The sequence below is a fragment of the Homo sapiens genome, chromosome 19, assembly GCF_000001405.40.
Source record: "Homo sapiens chromosome 19, GRCh38.p14 Primary Assembly".
Taxonomy (NCBI): domain Eukaryota; kingdom Metazoa; phylum Chordata; class Mammalia; order Primates; family Hominidae; genus Homo; species Homo sapiens.
This window is the reverse complement of record NC_000019.10, coordinates 57,866,424-57,892,323: the sequence shown is the minus strand read 5'-3', so window position 1 is coordinate 57,892,323 and position 25,900 is coordinate 57,866,424. Positions and strand designations below refer to the sequence as shown.

General features: G+C 46.5%; 1 protein-coding gene and 1 pseudogene across 4 annotated transcripts in view, besides 4 other annotated features; one reads left to right on the top strand and one right to left on the bottom strand.

Moving 5' to 3' along the window:
* ZNF814 (zinc finger protein 814) overlaps nucleotides 1-22,943 on the top strand; it is a 35,748-nt gene extending 12,805 nt beyond the window's left edge. Inside the window, exons 2-4 of one of the 3 annotated variants that reach the window (XM_047439309.1) lie at nucleotides 3,316-3,557; nucleotides 15,282-15,408; nucleotides 17,098-22,943. In XM_047439309.1, coding sequence (XP_047295265.1) covers nucleotides 3,522-3,557; nucleotides 15,282-15,408; nucleotides 17,098-19,502 — 2,568 coding nt within the window. In that variant the 5' untranslated portion in view covers nucleotides 3,316-3,521 and the 3' untranslated portion in view covers nucleotides 19,503-22,943. Of the gene's footprint in view, nucleotides 1-3,286; nucleotides 3,558-15,281; nucleotides 15,409-17,097 lie in introns of those variants that run through there. The other 2 variants (NM_001144989.2, XM_017027197.2) reach the window with 2 other exon arrangements.
* Nucleotides 3,300-3,842: an enhancer, noted in NCBI's record as "H3K27ac hESC enhancer chr19:58399850-58400392 (GRCh37/hg19 assembly coordinates)". NCBI's record gives its function as "activates a minimal SCP1, AML or CMV promoter by ChIP-STARR-seq in naive H9 embryonic stem cells {active_cell/tissue: H9 hESC(naive)}" and the evidence as "EXISTENCE:reporter gene assay evidence [ECO:0000049][PMID:30033119]".
* Nucleotides 3,577-3,626: an enhancer, noted in NCBI's record as "active region_15168". NCBI's record gives its function as "activates an Ori minimal core promoter by ATAC-STARR-seq in GM12878 lymphoblastoid cells {active_cell/tissue: GM12878}" and the evidence as "EXISTENCE:reporter gene assay evidence [ECO:0000049][PMID:35858748]".
* Nucleotides 3,843-4,386: an enhancer, noted in NCBI's record as "H3K27ac hESC enhancer chr19:58399306-58399849 (GRCh37/hg19 assembly coordinates)". NCBI's record gives its function as "activates a minimal SCP1, AML or CMV promoter by ChIP-STARR-seq in primed H9 embryonic stem cells {active_cell/tissue: H9 hESC(primed)}" and the evidence as "EXISTENCE:reporter gene assay evidence [ECO:0000049][PMID:30033119]".
* Nucleotides 4,411-5,143: an enhancer, noted in NCBI's record as "OCT4-NANOG-H3K27ac hESC enhancer chr19:58398549-58399281 (GRCh37/hg19 assembly coordinates)". NCBI's record gives its function as "activates a minimal SCP1, AML or CMV promoter by ChIP-STARR-seq in naive and primed H9 embryonic stem cells {active_cell/tissue: H9 hESC(naive and primed)}" and the evidence as "EXISTENCE:reporter gene assay evidence [ECO:0000049][PMID:30033119]".
* A 369-nt stretch (nucleotides 22,944-23,312) lies between the features above and the next one.
* Nucleotides 23,313-24,564, bottom strand: UBE2CP5 (ubiquitin conjugating enzyme E2 C pseudogene 5; annotated as a pseudogene). The gene has a single exon (NR_144562.1). The product of NR_144562.1 is annotated as a ubiquitin conjugating enzyme E2 C pseudogene 5 (transcript).
* Nucleotides 24,565-25,900: the final 1,336 nt, after the last annotated feature.

Below are 25,900 nucleotides of genomic sequence, written 5' to 3'. Positions count from 1 at the left end.
GCACCCCACTCACTCAAAGTGAGCCAAGTGGTGCACACAGATGATTTTCCTCTGGGTTGGGGGTTTCTTCAGTGTCAATGAAAAGAGTCAAACTCTGTAGACTATGTGAAGAGATTTATTCTGAGCCAAATATGAGTGACCATGGCCTGTGACACAGCCCTCAAGAGGTCCTGAGAACATGTGCCCAGGGTGGTCAGGGCGCAGCTTGGTTTTATACATTTTAAGGAGGCAAGAGACATCAATCAAATACATTAAAGAAATACATTGGTCTGGGCCGGGTGCAGTGGCTCACGCCTGTAATCCCAACACTTTGGGAGGCTGAGGTGGGCAGATCACAAGGTTGGGAGCTTGAAACCAGCCTGGCCAACATAGTGAAACCGTGTTTATACTAAAAATACAAAAGTTAGCCGGGCATAGTGGTGCGCACCTGTAGTCCCAGGTACTCAGGATGCTGAGGCAGAAGAATTGCTCGAACCCAGGAGGTGGAGGTTGCAGTGAGCTGAGATCATGCCACTGCACTCCAGCCTGGGTGACAGAGCAAAACTCCTGCTCAAAAAAAAGAAAAGAAAGTAAAGGAATAAAAGAGTGGGTACTCCATAGACAGAGCCGCCCGGCTAATTTTTTCGTATTTTTAGTAGAGATTGGGTTTCACCCTGTTGTTAGCCAGGATGGTCTCCATCTCCTGATCTCATGATCCTCCCACCTTGGTCTCCCAAAGTGCTGGGATTCCAGGGGTGAGCCACCATGCCTGGCATGGCTGCCCATTTTTATGGTTATTTCTTGATTTTTTTTTTTTTTTGAGGCGGAGTCTCACTCTGTCACCCAGGCTGGAGTGCAGTGGTGCAATCTCGGCTCACTGCAAGCTCCACCTCCCGGGTTCACGCCGTTCCCCTACCTCAGCCTCCCAAGTAGCTGGGACTACAGGCACCCGCCACCACGCCCAGCTAATTTTTTGTATTTTTAGTAGAGACAGGATTTCACCGTGTTAGCCAGGATGGTCTCGATCTCCTGACCTTGTGATCCACCCACCTCAGCCTCCCAAAGTGCTGGGATTACAGGCGTGAGCCACCGCGCCTGGCCCCTATTTCTTGATTATATCCTAAACAAAGGGTGGATTATTCATGCCTCCTTTTTTTAGACCATATAGGATAACTTCCTGATGTTGCCATGGCATTTGTAAACTGTCATGGCACTGATGGGAGTGTTGCAGTGAGGACGACCAGAGGTCACTCTCATGGCCATCTTGGTTTTGGTGGGTTTTAGCCGGCTTCTTTACTGCAAACTGTTTTATCAGCAACGTCTTTATGGCCTGTATCTTGTGCTGACCTCCTATCTCATCCTGTGACTTAGAATGTCTTCACTGTCTGGGAATGCAGCTCAGCCTCATTTTATCCAACCCCTATTCAAGACGGAGTTGCTCTGTTAAACACTTCTGACAGCTGTGGTTTCTTCCCACAAAGAGGTTGCAGATGGGGTTAGGTTCTTGTTCTGCCAGCTTGGCTCCTTCCCAATTCCTGTTAACTTACTGATTTATTAGGGCCCCATAGATTAGAAATTATCATTTAGGAGTCATGCAGCCAGGGGCCACAAGACTGTAAACATCCCCAGTTGTTCCTAGGGATGGTATCACCATTGCAAAAGCTAAGATTGGTGCTGGAGATATTTTTCAGACCCTGAACTTGATGGATCTGATGGCACCACTCAGATGGGTAAACTGGCTTATCTGGTCTTGTGCCTCCCTCTCCCCCAGAACCCACTCAGCACAAGAGAACAACTTTGACTCCCTATGATTTCATCTCCAACCCAACCAATCAGCATTCCCCAATTCATGGCCCCCTATCTACCAAATTATCCTTAAAAAACCCCAGTCTCAGGAGGCGGAGGTTGCAGTGAGCTGAGATCGTGACATTGCACTTCAGCCTGGGCAACAGGAGCAAAATTCTGTCTCAGAAAACAAACAAACAAATAAACAACAACAACAACAAAAAACCCCAGTCTCGCAATTTTCAGGGAGACTGATTTGAGTAATACTAGTAAGACTCCAGTATGCTGTTCATCCAACTCTGTGTGAATAAAACTCTTTTTCTTTTGCAATTTCCCTGTCCTGATAAATTGGCTTTATCTGGGCAGTAGGAAAAATGAACCCTCTGGGTGTTTACACGTTCATTTTAACAATACAATAATGGTTATTAATCTTTGCATTAATCTTTGCTTCCAGTGGAAGAATTTTGCATCTGAAGGACCATCTGAAATGATAGGTGAATTTGGATCTGTAGCCTTTGGGAACATCTACACTAACTCTGAAATAATATTTTTCCATACACTAGGGTAATCAGTTACAGCCAATAACCCCAAGAAATCTCAATGTGAGTTCTAAGGAGAGGCAGGATGATCCTCTGCCTAGGAGAAAGATCTGCAATCTTTTATTTATTTTTTTATTTTTATTTTTATTTTTTTTTCCAACATGGAGTCTTGCTGTGTCACCCAGGCTGGAGTGCAGTGGCAGGATCTCACTCACCGCAACCTCTGACTCCCATGTACAAGAGATTCTCCTGCCTCGGCCTCCCCAGTAGCTGGGATTACAGGCGCATGTCACCATGTGGGTTAATTTTTGTATTTTTAGTAGAGGCGGGGTTTCACCATGTTGGCCAGGCCAGTCTTGAACTCCTGACCTCAGGTGTTCCACCTGCCTCGGCCTCCCAAAGTGCTGGGATTACGGGCGTGAGCCGCCCGCACCTGGCCCTTATTTTTATTTTTTAGATAAGAGGTCTCGTTCTGTTGCCCAGGCTGGAATGCAGTGGTACGATCTCGGCTTACAGCAGCTTCGAACTCCTGAGCTCAAGCGATTCTCCCTCCTCAGGCTCCCTAACCCTAACCCCAACCTTAGGGCAGCTGGGACCACAGGCCCGCCCGACCACACTCCGCTAATATTTTTTATTTTTTGTAGAGACAGGATTTTGCTTTGTTGCTCAGGCTAATTTCTAACTCCTGACCTCAAATGATCCTTGTGACTTGGCCTCCCAAACTGGTGGAATTACAGGCGGGAGCCACCATACCAGTCAGGACGCACATCTTAAGGATACTCCCGAGGTGAAGCTGGGCTTTTCCTGCAGAAGCGCCTCTGGGAATTGCGCCCTTTACCCTCCTTGTTGCCTAGGGAACTACATTACCCAGAAAACTCAGCCTCGAATGATAGCGTAGAAGACCTCTGAGGGCTCAGAATAAAGGCGTTTCCTGTGTGCACGTGACAATGGGTCCGGACTTCCGGCGCCCTCTGGTGGCGGCCATTTTGATTGGTGTTGGATTTATTTGTAGGAGAGGCTCCTGAGCGCTAGGTCCGCACTGTGGTGACTGAACCCAGAAGTCGGGGAGCAGTTGTCCTCCGCTGCACAGAGGCTACTCTGGAGCTCTGTGACGGCGCCCAGCGTGACCCACTCCTGGGCCAGGATACGGACCGTCGTGCCCATATCTCCTGGCTGGTCGCCCTATCCTCCCGACTCTGCTTAAAACCACGTGGTTCGATGGCTGCCGCGGCTACGCTGAGGCTCTCCGCTCAGGTAATTGTGGGGCCTTCTGTGTCCTCAGGTCACCTCATCGTCACCCAAAAGCAGCGAGGTAGCAGCGCCTGTTCACGGCTCTGCAGCCCGGACGCCGGCGTTGGGACACTGAGGCGCTTGCGGGAGGGGCCCCATTTCTGACACCCGTGGGATGCGGTGGGGAGACCGGCAGGTACAGGGACTGGCGCGGGCAAAGGCCTGGAAGTGAACTGAGCCAGAAGGATGGAATCTGGGGTCCACAGGTGCCTGTTGGGAGCAAATTATGAGGCGGAGCTCCTCCTGGAAGAGCAAGCAGGCTGGGGGCTATGAACTCACGTGAGGACCCTAGAAGGCATGGAGATTTTCGAAGAAAGGAGGGATGTCATGAGCATTGTAAGGGTAGAGATAATCAGGTCCATGCATGTTTGTGTCTTTGCACAGTGTCAGGTGATATTTGAGTCAACAAAAGCCATGAGCTAAATGGAGTTCGAAGGAGGCAATTCTCTTGTGATTCCAGTTCACTTGGTAGTTGGCCATGGGCACAGAGGCTGAAGACACTCCCCAAGTCAGTCAATATAGCAAACAATACACAATAGTATACTTAACATGTAAATGTTAAAGGTTAAACATAACACTGTTGTACCCGGGCGAGTTAGAAAAACGCCACACTTTGAGACGAATTAAGAGTCCTTTATTCAGCTGGCGGCCAAAGAGACGGCTAACGCTCAAAATTCTCTCGGCCCCGAGGAAGGGGCTTGATTAACTTTTATACTTTGGTTTAGGAAGGGGAGGGGAGCTTAAATGCAACAACTCTTCAGAAGTAAAAACATGCAAAAAATTAAAAGGATAAATGGTTACAGAGAAACAAACAATTTAAAAGACAAATGGTTACAAAAAGGCAAGGTACCAGGTGTGGCGCTCTAAATCCTTCATAAGAGTTAGATATGGGCACTACGCCAGACACAAACTCAAGGCTTTATGGTGTTATCTTTTGAGCAAAATCCTGGGAACTTCATACATGGTTTGTTCCCAGTCCCTTATCAGTTAATTGGACTCCTTTGATATGTTGAGAATCTGCTTACACAAGTTAACTCCTTGAGGAAAGGGGGGTGGGTAAGGAGTCCTTAATGTCTTGTAAATCAAGGGGGCCAGGTGGAGCTCGTCTGGCTTTCTCAGCTAAGCGAGAGTCTATTCATGTGGAAACGAGGCTAGGTGATTAAGAGAGCAAAAGGGAGAGTCTAAAAACAGGATTAGTGAAAACAAGGTTGGGCATTACAACACAAGGAACAAAATAATGCTTAGCATCAAGAGGAAAAAGATATAGGAGCAAACGTTATGGAACCAGTTTAGAGGGAGCAAGGAAGACAAAAGGCATCTTGGTCTGGGCCAGTTGGTGGGCAATTGGCCTGCAGTCTTACAAGGAAGAGTCTTTGAGGTGGCAGAGCCTTAGGCAGCAGATGCTGAGTTTTGAGCTGCTGAAGGCCTAATCTTTTACAGTTACAGAATACTCTGGTGAGAACTGATAGTGGAAGAGTTTCCTTGTTTGTGACCTTACCTGGTTAGATGTAGTCTTTATTTTTTATTTTGTTTTGTTTTCTTGAGACGGAGTTTCGCTCTTGTTGCCCAGGCAGGAGTACAATGGTGTGATCTCGGCTCACTGCAATCTCTGCCTCCCGGGTTCAAGCGATTCTCCTGCCTCAGCCTCCCAGTAGCTGGGATTACAGGCATGCGCCACCACACCCGGCTAATTTTTTGTATGTTTAGTAGAGACGGGGTTTCTCCATGTTGGTCAGGCTGGTCTCAAACTCCCGACTTCAACTGATCCGCCCGCCTCAGCCTCCCAACTTGCTAGGATTACAGGCATAAGCCACCACACTCAGCCTATTTTATTTATTTATTTATTTTACTGAGACAGCGTCTCAGTCTGTCACCCAGCCTGGAGTGCAGTGGTGTGATCTCAGCTCACTGCAACCTCCGCCTCCCGGGTTCAAGAGATTCTCTTGTTTCAGCCTCCCGAGTAGCTGGGATTACAGGCACCCGCCACCACACCTGGCTAATTTTTTGTATTTTTAGTAGAGATGGGGTTTCGCCATGTTGCCTAGGCTGCTTTTGAACTCCCAAGCTCAGGCAATCCGCTCGCCTCGGCCTCCGAAAGTGCTGGGATTATAGGCGTGAACCACCGTGCCTGGCCGTCTTTTTTTTTTGTTTATTAAACAAAGCATCTTACCCTTGATGGCAGAGTGCCCTGTGAAATACAAATTGTCTTTTTCTAAGATGGAGTTAGTTATGTCAAGTGTGCTCTATACAAAGGACAGGATCAAAATCTGGATTTTAAAGGTTTTCCGAAGGCCAATCAAAGGAAGAACAGAGTGGAGAGAAGTGATGAGCACCGTGGGGCCCTGGGAGGTTGAATCTTTGTTGTAGATCACATAGGTGGCAGAGATGACATTTTACATTGAGGCATGCAGGTCAGACAAGCAGTCTGAGGTCACCTGACTCCAGGGCCAAGGAGGGGTACCTGGAGGTCTGAGCTTATCACATCCTATCAGGGACACATTCCTGTAATGTCTGCCTCTCCTCCAAGCACTTAGAAGCATTTTAGGAACTCAGATAAGGAAGTGGAGAGTGTTCCATTCCCTCACTGGTACTGACCCCGACCTATATGTTCTCTAGCTTGTGGTGTTGTGGGACTCTTTATTTTTTATTTTTAAAAATATTTTCTTTTTTAAATTTTAAATTTTTGTGGGTATATAATAGGTGTATGTATTTATGAGTTACAGGAGTTATTTTGTTTTTTTGTTTTTTTTTTTTTGAGAAGGAGTCTCACTCTGTCATCCAGACTGGAGTGCAGTGGCGTGATCACAGCTCACCACAACCTCCGCCTACAGGAGATATTTTGATACAGGCAAGCAGTGGGTAATAATCATACTAGGGTTAATGTATCCGTCACCTCAAGCATTATCCTTTGTGTTTCAAACAATCCAATTATACTCTTTTTGTTATTTAAAAATGTACAATTAGGTTGTTTTTACTGTAGTCACCCTGTTGTGCTACTAAATACTAGATCTTATTCTCTTTTTCTAGGTCTTATTCTCTTTTTCTAGATCTTATTCTCTTTTTCTAGATCTTATTCTTTGTTTTTTGTTTTTTTTTTTTTTGAGACACAGTCTTACTCTGTTGTCCAGGCTGTAGTGCAGTGGTGCAATCTCGGCTCACTGCAACCTCTGCTGCCCAGATTCACGCGATTCTCCTGCCTCAGCCTCTGGAGTAGCTGGGATTACATGTGCCTGCCATTGCGGCTGGCTAATTTTTGTAGTTTATAGTAGAGATGGGGTTTCACCATCTTGGCCAGGCTGGTTTTGAACTCCTGACCTCATGATCCACCCACCTCAGCCTCCCGAAGTGCTGAGATTACAGGTGTGAGCCACCACCGCGCCCTCACATTTTCTTTTCTTTTTTTTTTTTTGAGACGGAGTCCTTCTCTGTTGCCCAGGCTGGAGTGCAGTGGTGCGATCATGGCTCACTGCAACCTCCGCCTCCTGGGTTCAAGCGATTCTCATGTCTCAGCCTCCCAAGTAGCTGAGACTAAACACGTGTGCCACCACACCTGGGTAATTTTTTGTATTTTTAGTAGAGATTGGGATTTCACTGTGTTAGCCAGGATGGTCTCCATCTCCTGACCTCCTGATCCACCGGCCTCGTCCTCCCAAAGTGCTGGGATTACAGGTGTGAGCCACTGCGTCCGGCCTACATTTTCTTTATCCATTTATCTGTTGATGACCACTTAGGTCACTTCCAAGTCTTAGCTGCTGTGAACAGTGCTGCAGCAAACATGGGAGTGCAGATATCTCTGTGATATACTGGATTCCTTTTGGTTTATACCCAGCAGTGGGATTGCTGGATTATATGCTAGCTTAATGTTTAGTTTTTTAAGGAACCCCCAAACTGTTCTCCATAGTGGTTGTACTAATTTCCATTCCCACCAACAGTGTACGAGAGGTCCTTTTTCTTCACATCCTCACCAGCATTTGTTATTGCCTGTCTTTTGGATATAAATAAGCCATTTTAATGGGGTGAGATGATGTGCATTCTCTTATGACCAGTGATGTTGAGCACCTTTTCCTATACCTGTTTGCCATTTGTATGTCATTGTCTTTTGTTTGTATTTTTGAGACAGGATCTTGCTCTGTCACCCAGGCTGGAATGCTGTAGTGTGATGATGGCTCACTGCAGCTTCGACCACCTGGGCTCAGGCTATCCTGCTACCTCAGTCTCCCAAGTGGCAGGGACCACCACAGGCATGTGCCACCTTGCCTTGGCTAGCTTTTAAACTTTTTTGTAGAGATGGGGGTCTCACTGGTTAAACAGGGTGGTTATAAACTCCTAGGCTCAAGTGGTCTTTCTGCCTCAGTCTCCCAAACTGCTATGATTATAGCTGGGAGGCACTGCTCCTGACTGTATGTCTTCTTTTGAGAAATGTCTATTGAGATTTTTAAATGGGATTATTAAGGGTTTTTCCTATAGAGTTGTTTGAACTCTATATATTCTGGTAATTAATCCCTTTGCAGATGGGTAGTTTGCAGATATTTTCTCCCATTCTGTGGGTTATCTCTTCACTTTGTTGATTGTTTTCTTTGCTGTACAGAAGCTTTTTAACTTGATCTGATGCCATTAGTCCAATTTTGCTTTGGTTGCCTGTGCTTGAAAGGTATTACTCAAGAAGTCTTTGTCGGCCAGGCTCGGTGACTCACGCCTATAATCCCAGCACTTTGGGAGGCCAAGGCGGGCAGATCACCTGAGGTCAGGAGTTTGAGACCAGCCTGGGCAACATGGGGAAACCCCATCTCTACTAAAAATACAAAAATTAGCTGGGTGTGGTGGTACATGCCTGTAATCACAGCTACTCGGAAGCTGAGGCAGGAGAATCACTTGAACCTGGGAGGTGGAGGTTGCAGTGAGCCGAGATTGTGCCATTGCGCTCCAGCCTGGGCAACAGAGTGAGACTTCATCTCAAAAAAAAAAATAAAGAAATCTTTGCCCACTTCAGTCTTTTTTGGTAGTAGTTTCATAGTTTTAGGTTTTAGATTTAAGTCTTTTTTAATCCATTTTGATTTTTTTTTTTTTTTTGAGACAGGGTCTCTCTCTGTCACCCAGGCTGCAGTGCAGTGGTGCGATCTCAGCTCAGTGCAGCCTCCGCCTCCCAGGTTCAAGCGATTCTCCTGCCTCAGCCTCCCGAGTAGGTGGGACTACAGGTGTGCACTACCACATCCGGCTAATTTTTGTATTTTTAGTAGAAACGGGGTTCCACTATATTGGCCAGAATAGTCTCGATCTCTTGACCTCATGATCCATCCGCCTTGGCCTCCCAAAGTGCTGGGATTACAGGCATGAGCCATCATGCCTGGCCAGTTCTATTTTTTTTTTTTTTTTGAGATGGAGTCTCGCTGTCGCCCAGGCTAGAGTGCAGTGGCGTGATCTCAGCTCACTGTAGGCTCTGCCCCCCTGGGGTTCATGCCATTCTCCTGCCTCAGCCTCCCGTGTAGCTGGGACTACAGGTGCCCGCCACCTCACCTGGCTAATTTTTTGTATTTTTAGTACAGATGGGGTTTCACCCCATTAGCCAGGATGGTCTCGATCTCCTGAATTTGTGATCTGCCCGCCTCGGCCTCCCAAAGTGCTGGGATTACAGGTGTGAGCCACCACACCCGGCCAGTTCTGTTTAATTATTTTAATTTCTTTGCCAAATTTATCTGATAGAATTCTGAATTCTTTCTCCGTGTTTGTCTTGAGAAATTCCTCAAAATAGCTATCTTGAATTATCTGTCTGAAAGGTCATGTATCTCTGTTTCTCCAGGATTCGTCTTTGGTGCTTTATTTAGTTTGTTTGGTGAGGTCACGTTTTCCTGGATGGTGTTGATGCTTGTAGATGTTCATCAGTGTCTGGGCATTAAACAGTTAGGTGTTTATTGTGGTCTTCACAGTCTGGGCTCATTTGTACCTGTCCTTCTTAGGAAGAGTTTCCAGGTATTTGAAAGGACCCGGGTGTTGTGATCTAAGCTGAATCTACTTCAGCGGGAACCCCACACTCAGTAATGCTGTGACTCTTGCAGACTCAGAGAGCTATACCACCTTTGTGGTCTTGAATAAGATCTGAAATATTTCCCTTGATTAACATAACAGGTAGAGACTCTTGTTGGGTCTTCCCTCACTTTGTCCCAGCATGTCTCTGTCAGTGCTGAAGTGCCTGAAACTGGGGGTTGGGACAGAAGCACCCCTTTAGCTACCACCACTGGGACTGTGCTGGGTGAGAGCTGAAGCCAGCACAGCACTGGGTTTCACCCAAGGCTCCTGTGACCACTACATGGCTATCGCCTGTGTTCCCTCAAGGCCCTAGCCCGGTACAGTCAGCAGGTGGCAAAGCCAGACAGGCTTATGTCCTTCTCCTTAGGACGGTGAGTTCCCCAGGCCTCAGGTTGGTATACAGATGCCATCCATGAGCCAGGGATTGGAGTAAAAATCCTTAGAAATCTACCTGGTGTTCCTTTGCACTGCAGCTGAGCTGGCACTCAAACTACAAGCTAGAGCCCTTCCCACTCTTCCATCCCCTTTCCACAGGCAGAGCAGCCTCACTCTGTGGCCACCACCAGCACGGGCCCACAGGGAGTGCTGTCAGACTACCACTGAGGTTCCATTAAGGGCTAAGAGCTCTTCAGTCAGCTTGTGGTGAATGTTGCCTGGTCTGAGGCTGACTCTTCAAGACTCACCCAGGGCAGGTCCAGCAATGTCATCCACGAGCCAAGGCCTGGAATCAGGGACCCCAAGAGGCTTCTTGGTGCTCTATCCCTCTGTGGTTGAGCTGGCAGCTGAGGTGCAAGACAAGGTCCCCTTTACTTTTTCCTCTGTTATTCTCAAGCAGGTGGGGTCTCTGACCGTAACCACCACAGCTAGCAGTGTGCTGTGTTACATCTGAAGCTGGCATGTCTCAGAGTCTCACCCAGTGCCATCGCATACTACCTGGGTACTGCTGCTAGTTATTCAGGGTCCAAGGGTTGTTTAGTCAGAAGGTGATGGGTCCTCCCATGACTGAATTCTTCCCTTCAAGGCAGCAGGTTCTGTTTTGGTCCAGAGTGTGTCTAGAAATATTATCTGGGTGGGCCTGGAATGGGTCCTCACAACCCTGCCCAGTGCCCTATCCTGTGGCTGAGGTGACATCCAAAATGCAAGACAAAGTTCTTTTTGCTGTTCCCTCTCCTCTCCTCGAGTGGAAGGAAGGAGCCACGTAGCCTGGGGTTGCATGAGGGGTGGCACAAGCACACCCTTAGCTACCTCAACTGGTGTCTCAGTAGGTTGTGCTCCCCCAACCCAACCAGGTCCCCTGGCTCGGAGCCCAGCTCAGCACAGGACATGCCTAGGGGTTGCAGTCCTTGTGGCCTCGACCGCCTTTCAAGTTTATTTAGGACTTCAGAGCCCTCCAGCCCACAGTGGCAAGGCTTGCCAGATCTCAAGTCCTGACCATTGGGGTGGGCGATTCCCCTCTGGCTGGGCTGGTCGCTATGCTTACTCCCTGGGTAGGCGTCCGTTGAGTTCAGCCCAGTTTTGCTTTCTGCTATGACAGGGAAGCACTGAGTTCTGTGCAACGTCTGACAGTCACTGCGCTTTCCCTTCCCAGGAGCACAGATTCTCCACAACAGGCAGGCACTGCTGGGGGATGGGGAGGAGTGGCATTGGCAACTCAAGACTCTACAGCCCCTTTTAGTGCCATTTCCAGTAATACAAAATTAAATCCAGGTACTGTGAGTGCTCATTTGATTTTTGGTTCTTACAAAGGTGATTTTTTTCTGTGTTGACAGTGTTTAAATTTGGTGTTCTGGGCCGGGTGTGGTGGCTCACGCCTGTAATCCCAGCACTTTGGGAGGCTGAGGCAGGCGGATCAACTGAAGTCAGGAATTTGAGACCAGCCTGGCCAACATGGCAAAACCGTGTCTCTACTAAAAATACAAAAATTAGTCGAGTGTGGTGGCAGGTGCCTGTAATCCCAGCTACTTGGGAGGCTGAGGCAGGGAGAATTAGGGAGAATTGCTTGAACCCCGGAGGCAGAGGTTGCAGTGAGCCAAGGTAGCACTACTGGACTCCAGCCCTGGTGACAGAGCGAGACTCTCTCTTAAAAAAAAAAAGAAAAAAAAAAGGTGTTCTGTTAAGGGTATGATGGGTGCAGCTTTCTATTCCGCCATCCTGCTCTGTTGCACCTCTCGAGCTCAGTCCTTTCAACCGGAAACACTAGAGAAACCCTAAACCCTAGGCCCTAAGTCCATAACGCAGGTGGTATGGAGGTATTCCCATTTCAGTGAAACTGTGTAAACACTTAGAAGGTCAGCCTTGGATTTGGTAGCAGTATGTGAAATGCTCAGAGATAAAACTGATCAGAGTGGGGAGGTGATGTTACTTCTCTGCCTGGCTCCACATTGGAGAAAGGAACATGGGGTTAAGGGAGGAGGAAGGAAGACAGCGTTGAGGCTCATTCTGTCATCCAGGTGAGGTTTAATGGATGATTGTTGGCCAAGGAGATGTCGCTAGAATTGTGATTTACATTTGGTAAAGGAGCAGCTAGATTTTCTAATGCGGTCGGTAAGGACATGCAAGAGGGTTTCAGGTATGACGCTGGGGGTTTTTTGTTTTTGCTTTTTTTTTTTTTTAGGTGGAGTCTTGTTCTGTCACCAGGCTGGAGTGCAGTAGCATGATCTCTGCTCACTGCAACCTCTGCCTCCCAGGTTCAAGCAATTCTCCTGCCTCAGCCTCCTGAGTAGCTGGGACCACAGGAGGCACACGGCATCACGCCCGGCTAATTTTTGTAATTTTAGTAGAGACAGAGTTTTTCACCGTATTGGTCAGGCTGGTCTTGAACTCCTGACCTCAGGTGATCCACCCACCTCAGCCTTCCAAAGTGCTGGGATTACAGACTCGAGCCACCGTGCCTGGCAACCCTAGGGTTTTTGGCCTTAGCAGCAGCAGTGATAGAAGCTGTATCAGCTGAGATGAGCAAGTTGGGAGTAGGCATAATATAGTCACTGGGAATATAAGGAGGGTTGTTTTCACCATGCTCAGACCCTGAGATGCTTGTCCACATAGGTCGGGATATCTGGGAAGGAATTGATATTGGAGACATCCAGTATATGATAGCTAATGTGTGGACTAAGGTGCGTTAGCCATGGGTCCCATTTTGGAGGGCACACTTCATAATAAGGTAGTAAATCTTTTAGGGAACCAGAAAGGACTGGTTGGAGGCTGAGGACTAGATGTTTTGCCTGGGTCCCTGGCGGACATTATTGGCATTCATAACCTGTGTTATGCATTCACACAGGAGAGGGAGGTAAGTGACAATGAATGTAGGGTGTATCAGAGGGCATAGCTTGTCGTGGGGCAGACTTCCATGGAGATAATAGAGATGAGATGCAGGCAGAAGTACAGAAGTAATTGAGGGAAAGGTCATCATTGCTGAGGGGCTGGCAAGTGTAGCACAGAAGTGGAATAGGGTCATGGATAGCTGAAGCCACACATGGTTCTGTGTTTCTGTGGAGCCATGCAAGGAGGTCCTCACAGAATTACTTGAGACCACCGCTCCTTTTAGGATCCAATAGAATTGCAGTTCTGTGGTAATATTGGATCGGTTTGAATGGGCCATACACTCTGGATGGTGTCAGCTACGATGTAGTGTAAGGCCAAAAATTAAGGCCCAGTGTGATTTGCCACCTGGATGCCTGGTCATATTGGTATAACCACAAATGGCCTGAGTGCAAGTTTCTTTCCCATTTAACTCTCTTTTTATATATTTTAAATTTTTTTCCCTTGTGTGCATGTGTATGTGTGCGTGTGTGTGTGTGCATGTATGTAGAAAAAGACCTTGCTGTGTTGTCCAGGCTGCTCTTGAACTCCTGGAATCAAGCAGTCCTTACACTTTGGCCTCCCAGAGTGCTGGGATTACAGGTGTGAGACACCATGACTGGCCACTTCACACTCTTAAGTAATATATCTGAACAGGTGCAGCGGCTCACGCCTGTAATCCCGGCACTTTAGTAGGCTGAGGCGGGTGGATCATTTGACATCAGGGGTTTGAAAGCAGCCTGCCCAATATGGTGAAACGCCATCTCTATTAAAAATATAGAAATTAGCTGGGCATGGTGGTACATGCCTGTAATCCCAGCTACTGAGGAGCTGAGGCAGGAGAATTGCTTGAACCCAGGAGGCGGAGGTTGCAGTGAGCCGAGATTGCACCACCCCACTCGAGCCTGGTGACAGAGTGAGACTCCATCACAAAAAAAAAAAAAAAAAGGTAATGTATCCTAGCCTCTGAAGCCTTTCGATCAATGGGACCAGGCAGAGTTCCTGTTATAGTTTGTAGTGAGTTTCAATTCCATTTTTATGTCCAGAGTTATTCAAATAAGTCAATGGCATCCTCCTGAGGGAATCAGGCCATTACACTCTCTTCATCTTACAAAGCTTGCATGCCATGGCCATGGTTGCTCTCTCTTATCCACAATGCAACCCCCATGTGGCTCTCTGTGGTGAGTGGTGTCCCTCTTATCAGGCTGTTAATATATTTGATTTTTTTTTTTTTTTTTTTTTTGAGACAGAGTTTTGCTCTTGTTGCCCAGGCTAGAGTGCAACGGCGCAATCTCGGCTCACTGCAACTTCTGCCTCCTGGGTTCAAGCGATTCTCCTGCCTCAGCCTCCCAAGTAGCTGGGATCACAGGCGCCCGACACCACGCTCAGCTAATTTTTTGTATTTTTAGTAGAGCCGAAGTTGCACATTGTTAACCAGGCTGGTCTGAAACTCCGGACCTCAGGCAATCCACCTGGCTCGGCCTCTGAAATCACTGGGATTACAAATGTGAGCCACCGCGCCTGGCTCAATACAATTGATTTGTAGATTGCTCTTGATGACATGTGTAGAATATCAGATGTAATTTGTTTTACCAACATTATAGCCCTAGGGGTAGATATCAACCCACACTAGTTGAAGAAAAAGGAGGGAATTAAGATACTTTAAGCTGGCTGGGCGCGGTGCCTCATGCCTGTAGTTTTAGCACTTTGGGAGGCCGAGGTGGGAGGATTACGAGGTCAGGAGTTCGAGACCAGCTTGGCCAACATGGTGAAATCCTATCACTACTAAAAATACAAAAATTAGCCAGGTGTGGTGGTACATGCCTGTAATCCCAGCTGCTCGGGAGGCTGAGGCAGGATAATTGCTTGAACCCAGGAGGTGGAGGTTGCAGTGAGCCGAGATCATGCCACTACATTCAGCCTGGTGACAGAGTGAGACTCTGTCTCAAACAAACAAACAAACAAAAAAATATACTTTAAGTTGTTTAAAGGCCAGAGAGAGGCCAGTGGTGTGTGGCAGTCACCTGGGGATGGACATGGAATGTACCTGGAAGTCTAAAGAATGAGGTGTGTTCAGAGAGGGTATCTCTGCTGTGCTGAAGGTGCCACATTGGGCTTTCCATGACCTTGGCCATACTAGGGAAAGTGCCTGTCAGGAGGGGGTGGACTCTTACGTCACAACCACCACACAGATACCTATTTGTTCAACTATTGTTGGTGGCTATACCCCATGACCAGTGGGCCTAGTTTCTCCTATGTTTGAGGACCTTGAGAGGAGGATGTGCGAGAGTAGATGTGTGGGAGAGATGGATTGTGATACCTCAGCATAGGGGCAGTTTGTAGTTTCATCTGTCAACATCATAACAGGGCACAGTGACTTTTGAAGATGTGGCTGTGAACTTTACCTGGGAGGAATGGAATCTCCTTAGTGAGGCTCAGAGATGCCTGTACCGTGATGTGACGCTGGAGAACCTGGCACTTATATCCTCCCTGGGTAAGTTGCTCACACTCACCCTGTGACCTGAGCTAGTCTCTGTTTTCCCCTATCTTTCCCCATTGGTAAGACTTTCTCATGTCAGGAGCATGGACACAGCTTCCTGCTTCAGTTCTGTGGGTAGGTTCTTGGTTGGTAGGTCTGAGGTGTACATACTGCCCTACTCCTTTCTTGGAGCAGCCCCAACACCTGCTTTACTGCAGGCTCCCAGGGAGGGATTCCCAGTCAGAAGCCCACCTTGTTAGTCCTGTGGATGTTTGGGTGTCCTTGTCCAGATTTCAGGTTCCTGTGTACCCACAGTCTACTTCCTTTCTCTAGCTGCTATTTTCTTATGCCTTCCTGTGGCAGGAATTGCCTTCACAGACTACATCACTGCCTATATAGACCAGAGGCTGTTCTTGCAAGACCTTCTTTAGAAATTCTCCTTGAAATACTCAGTTTTTTTCTCTCATGGGCTGTCATGGGCTGAGTTGTTCTGAGACAATGTTGGCTGTTCCCTTGTTCTGTCTTTCCCTTAGTCTGTGCATCATTCATGTCCCATGTATTTGGTCATCATTGTGGTGGGAGGCACAGTCCTCCATTTGATCCAGAAGATGCAAATGAATTCAGCCTCAGCATAATAGGCTCAGAAGGAGTGAGTCCCTAAAGAGTGGCACCCTGGGCTGGGGATGGTGGCTCACTCCTGTAATCCCAGCACTTTGGGAGGCCCTGGCAGGTGGATCATGAGGTCAGGAGTTCAAGACCAGCCTGGCCAAGATGGTGAAACCCTGTCTCTACTAAAATACAAAAAGTAGTCAGGCCTGGTGGTACATGCCTGTAATCCCAGTGACTCGGGAGGCTGAGGCAGAGAATTGCTTGAACCCAGGAGGGGAGGTTGCGGTGAGCCCAGATCGCACCACTGCACTCCAGCCTGGGTGACAGAGCGAGACTCCATCTCAAAAAAAAAAAAAAAAAAAAAAAAAAAAAAAAAAAGCGGCACCCTGGAGGAGGTCATGGAGTCAGGGCTTTATTGAAAGCATACCAACAACCTGTTCTATTTTAGTAGTAGTTTTGTGGCAAGGCAAGTAGGCACACATAATTTGTCTTTTCTTCCTCATTCTTGAGAGCATCACACTTGTCTACCTTATCGCTTCTACTCTTTCTTTTTTAACTTTTGACCCACTTGTACATGAACTTGTACCCTAATGTCCATTCTCCTATCTAATCTTCATATCTCTGGGCCCCAGATCTCATCCATTTACATACGTCACCATCTACAGTGTTCTCTCCAGTGTTGGCATAGAGATTTGTGTTAGCGAATATATATACTTTGTTAAACTCTCCTCGAGTAGCTGCTGTGTTGTGCTTGTGTTTTCCTTGGCCTGGACAAATCCCTCTCTACAGCACTCACATGTCATGAGGACATAAATTCTGCAGATGAGTGGTTTGCAGATGCAGGGATTGTAGACCCTGCCTGTACTCCCTGTTTTACATACATGGTTGTGTCCTTTAACTTATGAGGCCTCCTACATTCTGTGACCGTTATAGTCCAGTAATAATACATAGCACCATCTTCCGCCTGAAGCCAACATCCTGTTCCTCCAAGTAGTTCCTTGGAGTAATTCCTCAGTTTTTCAGATACACTTGTGGGTGGTCTGTGCCTTCCCACCAGAGTTAACATGCACTTCACCAGCATTTTCTTGCTTTCAGGTTGTTGGTGTGGAGTGGAAGATGAGGCGGCACCTTCTAAGCAGAGTATTTATATACAAAGAGAGACTCAGGTCAGGACTCCTATGGCAGGTGTGTCTCCCAAGAAGGCCCACCCCTGTGAGATGTGTGGCCCGATCTTGGGAGACATTTTGCATGTGGCAGATCATCAGGGAACACATCACAAGCAGAAACTGCACAGGTGTGAGGCCTGGGGGAATAAATTGTATGACAGTGGAAACTTTCATCAGCACCAGAATGAGCACATTGGAGAGAAACCCTACAGAGGGAGTGTTGAGGAGGCGTTGTTTGCAAAGAGGTGTAAGTTGCATGTGTCAGGGGAGTCATCTGTCTTCAGTGAGAGTGGGAAGGACTTTTTGCCCAGGTCAGGATTACTCCAGCAGGAGGCCAGTCACACTGGGGAGAAGTCAAACAGCAAAACTGAGTGTGTGTCTCCCATTCAGTGTGGGGGAGCTCACTACAGCTGTGGAGAATCCATGAAACATTTTAGCACCAAACATATACTCAGTCAGCACCAGAGACTGCTCACTAGAGAAGAGTGTTATGTGTGCTGTGAATGTGGGAAGTCCTTTAGCAAATATGCTAGCTTGAGTAATCATCAGAGAGTTCACACTGAAAAAAAACATGAATGTGGAGAATGTGGGAAATCCTTTAGCAAATATGTTAGCTTCAGTAATCATCAGAGAGTTCACACTGAAAAAAAACATGAATGTGGAGAATGTGGGAAATCCTTTAGCAAATATGTTAGCTTCAGTAATCATCAGAGAGTTCACACTGGGAAAAGACCTTATGAATGTGGAGAATGTGGGAAATCGTTTAGCAAATATGCTAGCTTCAGTAATCATCAGAGAGTTCACACTGAAAAAAAACATTATGAATGTGGAGAATGTGGGAAATCCTTTAGCAAATATGTTAGCTTCAGTAATCATCAGAGAGTTCACACTGGGAAAAGACCTTATGAATGTGGAGAATGTGGGAAATCGTTTAGCAAATATGCTAGCTTCAGTAATCATCAGAGAGTTCACACTGACAAAAAACATTATGAATGTGGAGAATGTGGGAAATCCTTTAGTCAAAAGAGCAGCCTCATTCAACATCAGCGATTTCACACTGGAGAAAAACCTTATGGGTGTGAAGAATGTGGGAAATCTTTTAGTTCAGAAGGACATCTTAGGAGCCATCAACGAGTTCACGCCGGAGAAAGACCTTTCAAGTGTGGAGAATGTGTGAAATCTTTCAGTCATAAGCGCAGCCTTGTTCACCATCAGCGAGTTCACAGTGGAGAAAGACCTTATCAGTGTGGAGAATGTGGGAAATCTTTCAGTCAAAAGGGCAACCTCGTTCTACACCAGCGAGTTCACACTGGAGCAAGACCTTATGAGTGTGGAGAATGTGGGAAATCATTTAGTTCAAAAGGACATCTTAGGAACCATCAGCAAATTCACACTGGGGACAGACTTTATGAGTGTGGAGAGTGTGGGAAATCTTTTAGTCATAAAGGCACCCTCATTCTACATCAGCGAGTTCACCCTAGAGAAAGATCTTATGGGTGTGGAGAATGTGGGAAATCTTTTAGTTCAATCGGGCACCTTAGGAGCCATCAGCGCGTTCATACTGGAGAGAGGCCTTATGAGTGTGGAGAATGTGGGAAATCTTTTAGTCATAAGCGCAGCCTTGTTCACCATCAGCGCATGCACACTGGAGAAAGACCTTACAAGTGTGGAGACTGTGGGAAATCTTTTAATGAAAAAGGACACCTTAGGAATCATCAGCGAGTTCACACTACAGAAAGACCTTTTAAGTGTGGGGAATGTGGGAAATGTTTTAGTCACAAGGGTAACCTCATTCTACACCAGCATGGCCATACTGGAGAAAGACCTTATGTATGTAGGGAATGTGGAAAATTATTTAAGAAGAAGTCTCACCTCCTTGTACACCAGAGAATTCACAATGGAGAAAAGCCATATGCTTGTGAAGCTTGTCAGAAATTTTTTAGAAACAAGTACCAACTCATTGCACATCAGAGAGTTCACACTGGAGAAAGGCCTTATGAATGCAATGATTGTGGAAAATCATTTACCCACAGCTCTACATTCTGTGTTCATAAGCGAATTCACACTGGAGAAAAGCCTTATGAGTGCAGTGAATGTGGAAAATCTTTCGCTGAAAGCTCCAGTTTCACAAAACACAAAAGAGTTCACACTGGAGAAAAGCCTTATGAGTGCAGTGAATGTGGAAAATCTTTTGCTGAAAGCTCCAGTCTCACTAAACACAAGAGAGTTCACACTGGAGAAAAGCCTTATAAATGTGAGAAATGTGGGAAATTATTTAACAAGAAGTCTCACCTCCTTGTACACCAGAGTTCACACTGGAGAAAAGCCATATGAGTGTGAGGATTGTCAGAAAGTTTTTAGCAAGAAGGACCACCTCATTGCACACCAGAGAGTTCACACTGGAGAAAGGCCATATGAATGCAGTGATTGTGGGAAGTCATCTACCCACAGCTCTGCATTCTGTGTTCATAAGAGAGTTCACACTGGTCACACCACCTTATGAGTGCAGTGAATGTGGGAAATCCTTTGCTGAAACTTTCAGTCTCATTAAACACAGGAGAGTTCACACTGGAGTAAGGTCTTGTGATTGCAGCAAATGTGGGAAAAAAGTTACCTGAAGGTCTTTTCTCCTTGAATATCAGAGAGTTCACACTAGACAAATAAAATACATTTGGGCAATTTTGTAGCCACACCTCTTTGCTCCTTCAAGATCAGAGTTAACACTGGATCAGGGCCTTACCAGTGTGACATGTGAGATATTTATGTAGAAATCTAGCTTCATAACACACAGGAGACTTCCCACTGCAGAAATGCCTTTTGAATGTAATGAATGCAAGAAAGCCTTCAGCCTTTTTATTGGAGCCTCAAACATTGACATGAGAAAAACACCATAGATGTATATGGAATGTTATTTCTTTTTCAATGTAACCCTTTGAGAGTGCCACCTACCTAGATTGAATGTCATTTATTGAGCATCTGCAAAAGTTCCAAGTGTGTGGCAGCTACAGTGCATTTTTCACTATACCCAGGTACCTTGCTAGATTTTTTTTGAGACAGGTTGTCACTGTGTCGCTCAGGATGGCGTGCAGTGGTGTGTTCACATTTCACTGCACCCTTGATCTGGGCTTAAGTGATTCTGTTGCCTCGGCCTCCTGAGTAGCTGAAACCACAGGCATGCACTACCATGCTCCACTAATTTTTTTAAGTTTTGGAGAGACAGGGTCTCACCATGTTGCCCAGGCTGGTCTTAAACTCCTGGCTCAAGCGATCCTTCCACCTTGGCCTCCAAACATGCTGGGATTACAGGTGTGAGTTACTGTGCCTGGCCTTTTTTTTTTTTTTTTTTAACTTTTAATTTCTGATCGAGTCACAGAAGGATTTGTTGAGTAGCTTCAGCACTTCTTCCTTTGTCATTTTTTTCTGTCTGATAAGTCATGCCATGGACGTTACCCATTTTTATCCCAGAGGCCTCTTACGTTGACTTGAAAAGACGGACTATGTCTTTCAGAGATCTTGTGGGTATCACATCAATCTTGACAAATTTTCTACCCTCCAAGTCATGATCCTAAGAACAGCTTGCCTCCCATTTCTCCGGTTTGTGCTATTATGAAGGCCTTATTGTTTCAGCCTTCTTCAATCTTGAGGGTTGTTGTCACTGTATGGGTGGTTCAGAAATAAGTAGGTCCTGTTACTATGAAGGGGGTCACAGCTTTTGTTGGCATAGCTAAACTTTGTGGCTCATGGAACAGTATGAATGCAGAATGTAGCTTTCTCCACTTGTGGACTGCTTTGCATAGCTGCCAGAGGCCTCCAGAGAAGACCTTCAGGGCTTTGTGGTCTTTATCTGTAGCACGGATACTAAAATTTGTGGGTTCATAGGTCAGCTGGATACAGGGCATTTTTTGTGACAATTTCTGGCATTTTTTGAACAAGACAAAATTCTTTTACGAGGTATATTGCATTGTACTTGGTACGGCTGAGGGAAGTCTGTTGCCCAGCTCTTGCAATGCAGACACATGCCCTGATATCCAGAATTCTGTAGGATAACATCACAGATTGTAATGCTATCAGGTGAAATTATAATTTTATAGAATTACTTTATTTATAGGCAGTGGAGGAGACAGAATAATGTAACTGCAACTCATGTCTTTTTTTTCTTTTTTTTTCTTTTTTTTTGAGGCAGAGCCTCACCCTGTTGCCCAGGCTGGAGTGCAGTGGCATAATCTTGGCTCACGGCAACCTCTGCCTCCCAGGTTCAAACGATTCTCCTGCCTCAGCCTCCTGAGTAGCTGGGACTACAGGCACATGCCACCACACCCAGCTAATTTTTGTATTTTTAGTAGAGATGGGGTTTCACCATGTTGGCCAGGCTGGTCTCGAACTCCTGACCTTGTGATCTGCTGGCCTCAGCCTCCCAAAGTCCTGGGATTACAGGTGAGCCACCACGTGCAGCGTAATGCATGTCTTTTAAAAGGGCATCCACAATGATCCAGTCACTACGTATATGATGAATATGCAGATACAGGAATTATCAGGACTTCCATAATGATGAATATTGTATTGTTGAGGCCATTGTCAGAGGAAATAATCTAAAGGTTTTGTGAATTCCTGTACTCATTCTGGGCTGTTCTCCTCAAGGTCATTCCTGCATTAACAGGAGGAAGATGATAGGGAGAAGGGAGATCTCAGTTCAGTGATGTGGCCTTTGTGACCAGCCAGCCACTTAATCAGGTGGAAATGGCCTTAGTGCCACATCAATATTTGCTACCGTGGAGGCTAGTTTTCCCACTTAGGGCATGAGAAGAATTGGTGTAGTCAGTATAGAGTTGCCAAACCTGTTTTCCAAAAATAATGGTAAATCTATATTTTTCTTTTGAACTGCATTTTTTTAATTATTATTATTATTTATTTTGAGACGGAGTCTTGCTCTGTTGCCCAGGCTGGATGGAGTGCAGTGGCACGATCTCGGCTCACTGCAAGCTCTGCCTCCTGGGTTCACACCATTCTTCTGCCTCAGCCTCCCAAGTAGCTGGGACTACAGGTGCCCGCCACCATACCCAGCTAATTTTTTGTATCTTTACTAGAGATGGGGTTTCACCATGTTAACTAGGATGGTCTCGATCTCCTGACCTCGTGATCCGCCTGCCTTGGCCTCCCAAAGTGCTGGGATTATAGGCATGAGCCACCGTGCCCAACCTTTTTTTTTTTTTTTTGAGACAGAGTCTCACTGTCAGCCAGGCTGGAGTGCAGTGGCATGACCTTGGCTCATTGCAACCTCTACCTCCTAGGTTCAAGCAATTCTCCTGGCTCAGCCTCCCATGTAGGTGGGACTGGAAGCATGTGCCACCATGCCCGGCCAAGTTTTGTATTTTTAGTAGAGACGGAGTTTTGCCATGTTGGCCAGGCTGATCTTGGACTCCTGACCTCAGGTGATATGCCTGCCTCAGCCTCCCAGAGTGGTGGGAATACAGGTGTGAGCCACTGCTGCCAGTCTGAAGTATATTTTAAAGCTGTGATGAGTTATAAATGACATTCAGTAAGCTATGCATATTTAAGCTGTAGCATGTGATAAATCTTGAGTTTCATATAATCCCATGAAACCATTAACATAGTCACAATAATGAACTTAACACCTTTATATTTACTTGGAACCTTTTTATAAAGGCTTTCTTTCTGTTCTCCAGACAACCAATGATTTACTTTGCTGTACAGTAGAGTACTTTCCATTTTCTGGAATGTTAGATGAGTGATGTAATAAAGTGTTTCCTCTTATAATCCCTGGGTGCTCTCTCGTATCATTTTTTTTTTGTTTTTTAATGACCAAAATGTTTTCTTTTTGTCTTTTTTTTTTTTTTTTTTTTGAGATGGAGTCTTGCTCTGTGCCCAGCCTGGAGTGCAGTGGTGCAATCTCAGCTCACTGCAAGCTCCACCTCCCGGGTTCATGCCATTCTCCTGCCTCAGCCTCCCGAGCAGCTGGGACTATAGGCACCCGCCACCACGCCCGGCTAATTTTTTTGTATTTTTAGTAGAGACGAGGTTTCACCGTGTTAGGCAGGATGGTCTCGATCTCCTGACCTCACGATTCGCCTGCCTCGGCCTCCCAAAGTGCTGGGATTATAGGCTAGAGGCACCACACCCAGCCCAAAATGTATGTATTTAATATTCATCACAAGGGCTCCACCAAGGTTTAAATTAAAAGACAAAAGAAAAATAGTACCACAGCTCAAGATACAGAGTTCTACACAGAAATCACGGAAAGGGCAGACCATCTAAGGGAAAATTAAAAAGACAACACAAGGATAGGCTGGGCAGCCTGGGTCAGAGCTCCTGGCTGGTGACCTACTTTGAGTAGCTTTCTTGCAGGTACTTCCTTATTTTTATTTTTATTTTATTTTATTTTTTTTTGAGGCAGAGTTTCACTCTTGTTGCCCAGGCTGGAGTGCAATAGCGAGATCTCGGCTCACTGCAACCTCCACCTCCCAGGTTCAAGTGATTCTCCTGCCTCAGCCTCCCGAGTAGCTGGGATTACAGGCATGCGCCACCACACTTGGCTAATTTTTTTATTTTTTTAAATAGGGATGACATTTCTCCATGTTTGTCAGGCCTTGGACTCTCTACGTCAGGTGATCCATCCACCCACCTCGGCCTCCCAAAGTGCTGGGATTACAGGTGTGAGCCACTGCGCCTGACCCTTGCAGGTACTTCTTAAAGCTATGGGGTTTTCCCAGAGCTTGGTAGCATGTGTGTTCAAAGGGCTATCAATGTTGAGTTGTCCTAGCAGGCACTGGATAGAGAGCAGGATGGTCCTGATATCATACGGGGCAGACCACTTCTCCTTCAGGATGTCCAGGCATATGTTACCCTGGGTGTCCACGTTAGGGTGGTAGCAGGGTGTGAGGAACTTCACTGTGGGTGCATCGTAAAGGTGGGTAGTCATTGAGGAACTCCAGCAAGAGCTTATACCTCAGATCTTCATACACTGTGCCAGCTGCTTCATGGATGGTGTCCATTTGATAAGGCTTTCAGGGTAGGCAGAAATTCTTTTGTCACCAGGCATCATGAGGGTCATCAGCTCCTGCTGTAGCCTTTTGGCTACAGGGCCCCAGGCAGTGCCCCTGCTGGGCTCAGCTCCTTTATGGGCGGTGGCGACACTAACAGTGGCTGGGTCAAAGTTTTGTGAGGCTATCTGGGTGGCACTGGCAGAGAGACAAGAACTCAGAAAATGTGACTGCATCTGTGATCATCATGTTTATTTTTTATTTTTATTTATTTATTTTGAGACGGAGTCTTGCTCTTGTCACCCAGGCTGGAGTGCAGTGCTGTGATCTCGGCTCACCACAACCTCTGCCTCCTGAGTTCAAGCCATCCTCTTGCCTCAGCCTCCCGAGTAGCTGGGATTACAGGCACGTGCCACCACGCCCGGCTAGGTTTTTGCATTTTTAGTAGAGACGGTTTCTTCAAAGTTGATCGGGCTGGTCTCAAACTCCCAACTTCAGGTGATCCACCCACCTTGGCCTCCCAAAGTGCGGGGTTACAGGTGTGAGCCACTGCACCTGGCTGAAAAATAATGCGGTGGCTCTGGCCAACATGGTGAAACCCTGTCTCTACTAAAAATACAAAAATGAGCTGGGCTTAGTGGCACACACCTGTAATCCCAGCTACTTGGGAGGCTGAGGCAAGAGAATCACTTGAACCCAGGAGACGGAGGTTGCAGTGAGCCGAGATCACGCCACTGCACTCCAGCCTGGGCGACAAAGTGAGGCTCCATCTCAAAAAAAAAAAAAAAAGGAAATAGTTTTAAGTTCTCCCATCCAAGTAGTAACCAGGCCCGACCCTGCTTAGCTTCCGAGATCAGACGAGATCAGGCGCGTTCAGGGTGGTATGGCCATAGACGGAAATAGTTTTAAGTTCTCAATCAACTTCAACTGAATGGTTAGTGGTCAGTTTTGTAATCACAATGACATTCTTGCAAACAAATACAATGTGTGGCATCTCTCTTTGATATACTGGATAGTTAAAAATTGTTTTAAAGTTTTGCCTAATATTTTGCGATTTATCTCAATGTAATCTGTATAAGTAGTAAAATTATAGATGACTCCTTTCCTTTTTTTTTTTTTTAAGACAAGGATCTAGCTCTGTTGCCTAGGCTGGAGGGCAATGGCATGATCACAGCTTACTGCAACCTCTGCTCCTGCATTCAAGCGATTCTCATGCCTCAGCCTCCCGAACATCTGGGATTACAGGTGCATGATACCACATCCGGCTAATTTTTGGATTTTTAGTAGAGACTGTTTCACGGTATTGGCCTGACTGGTCTCGAACTCCTGTCCTCAAGTGACCCACCTGTCTTGGCCTCCCAAAGTGGGATTACAGGCATGAACCACTGCACCCAGCCTAAATGACTACCTTTTATGTTGCACATTTTAAGTAACTTTTGTCATTTCCATCTTGGGTTGTTGCTTTTTTGTTTTTTGAGACAGAATCTCGCTCTGTCGCCCAGGCTGGAGTGCAGTGGCCTGATCTTGGCTCACTGCAAACTCCGCCTCCTGGGTTCATGCCATTCTCCTGCCTCAGCCTCCTGAGTAGCTGGGACAACAGGTGCGTGCCACCACACCTGGCTAACTTTCGGTATTTTTAGTAGAGATGGGGTTTCACTGTGTTAGCCAGGATGGTCTCGATCTCCTGACCTTGTGATCCGCCCACCTCATCCTCTCAAAGTGCTGGGATTACAG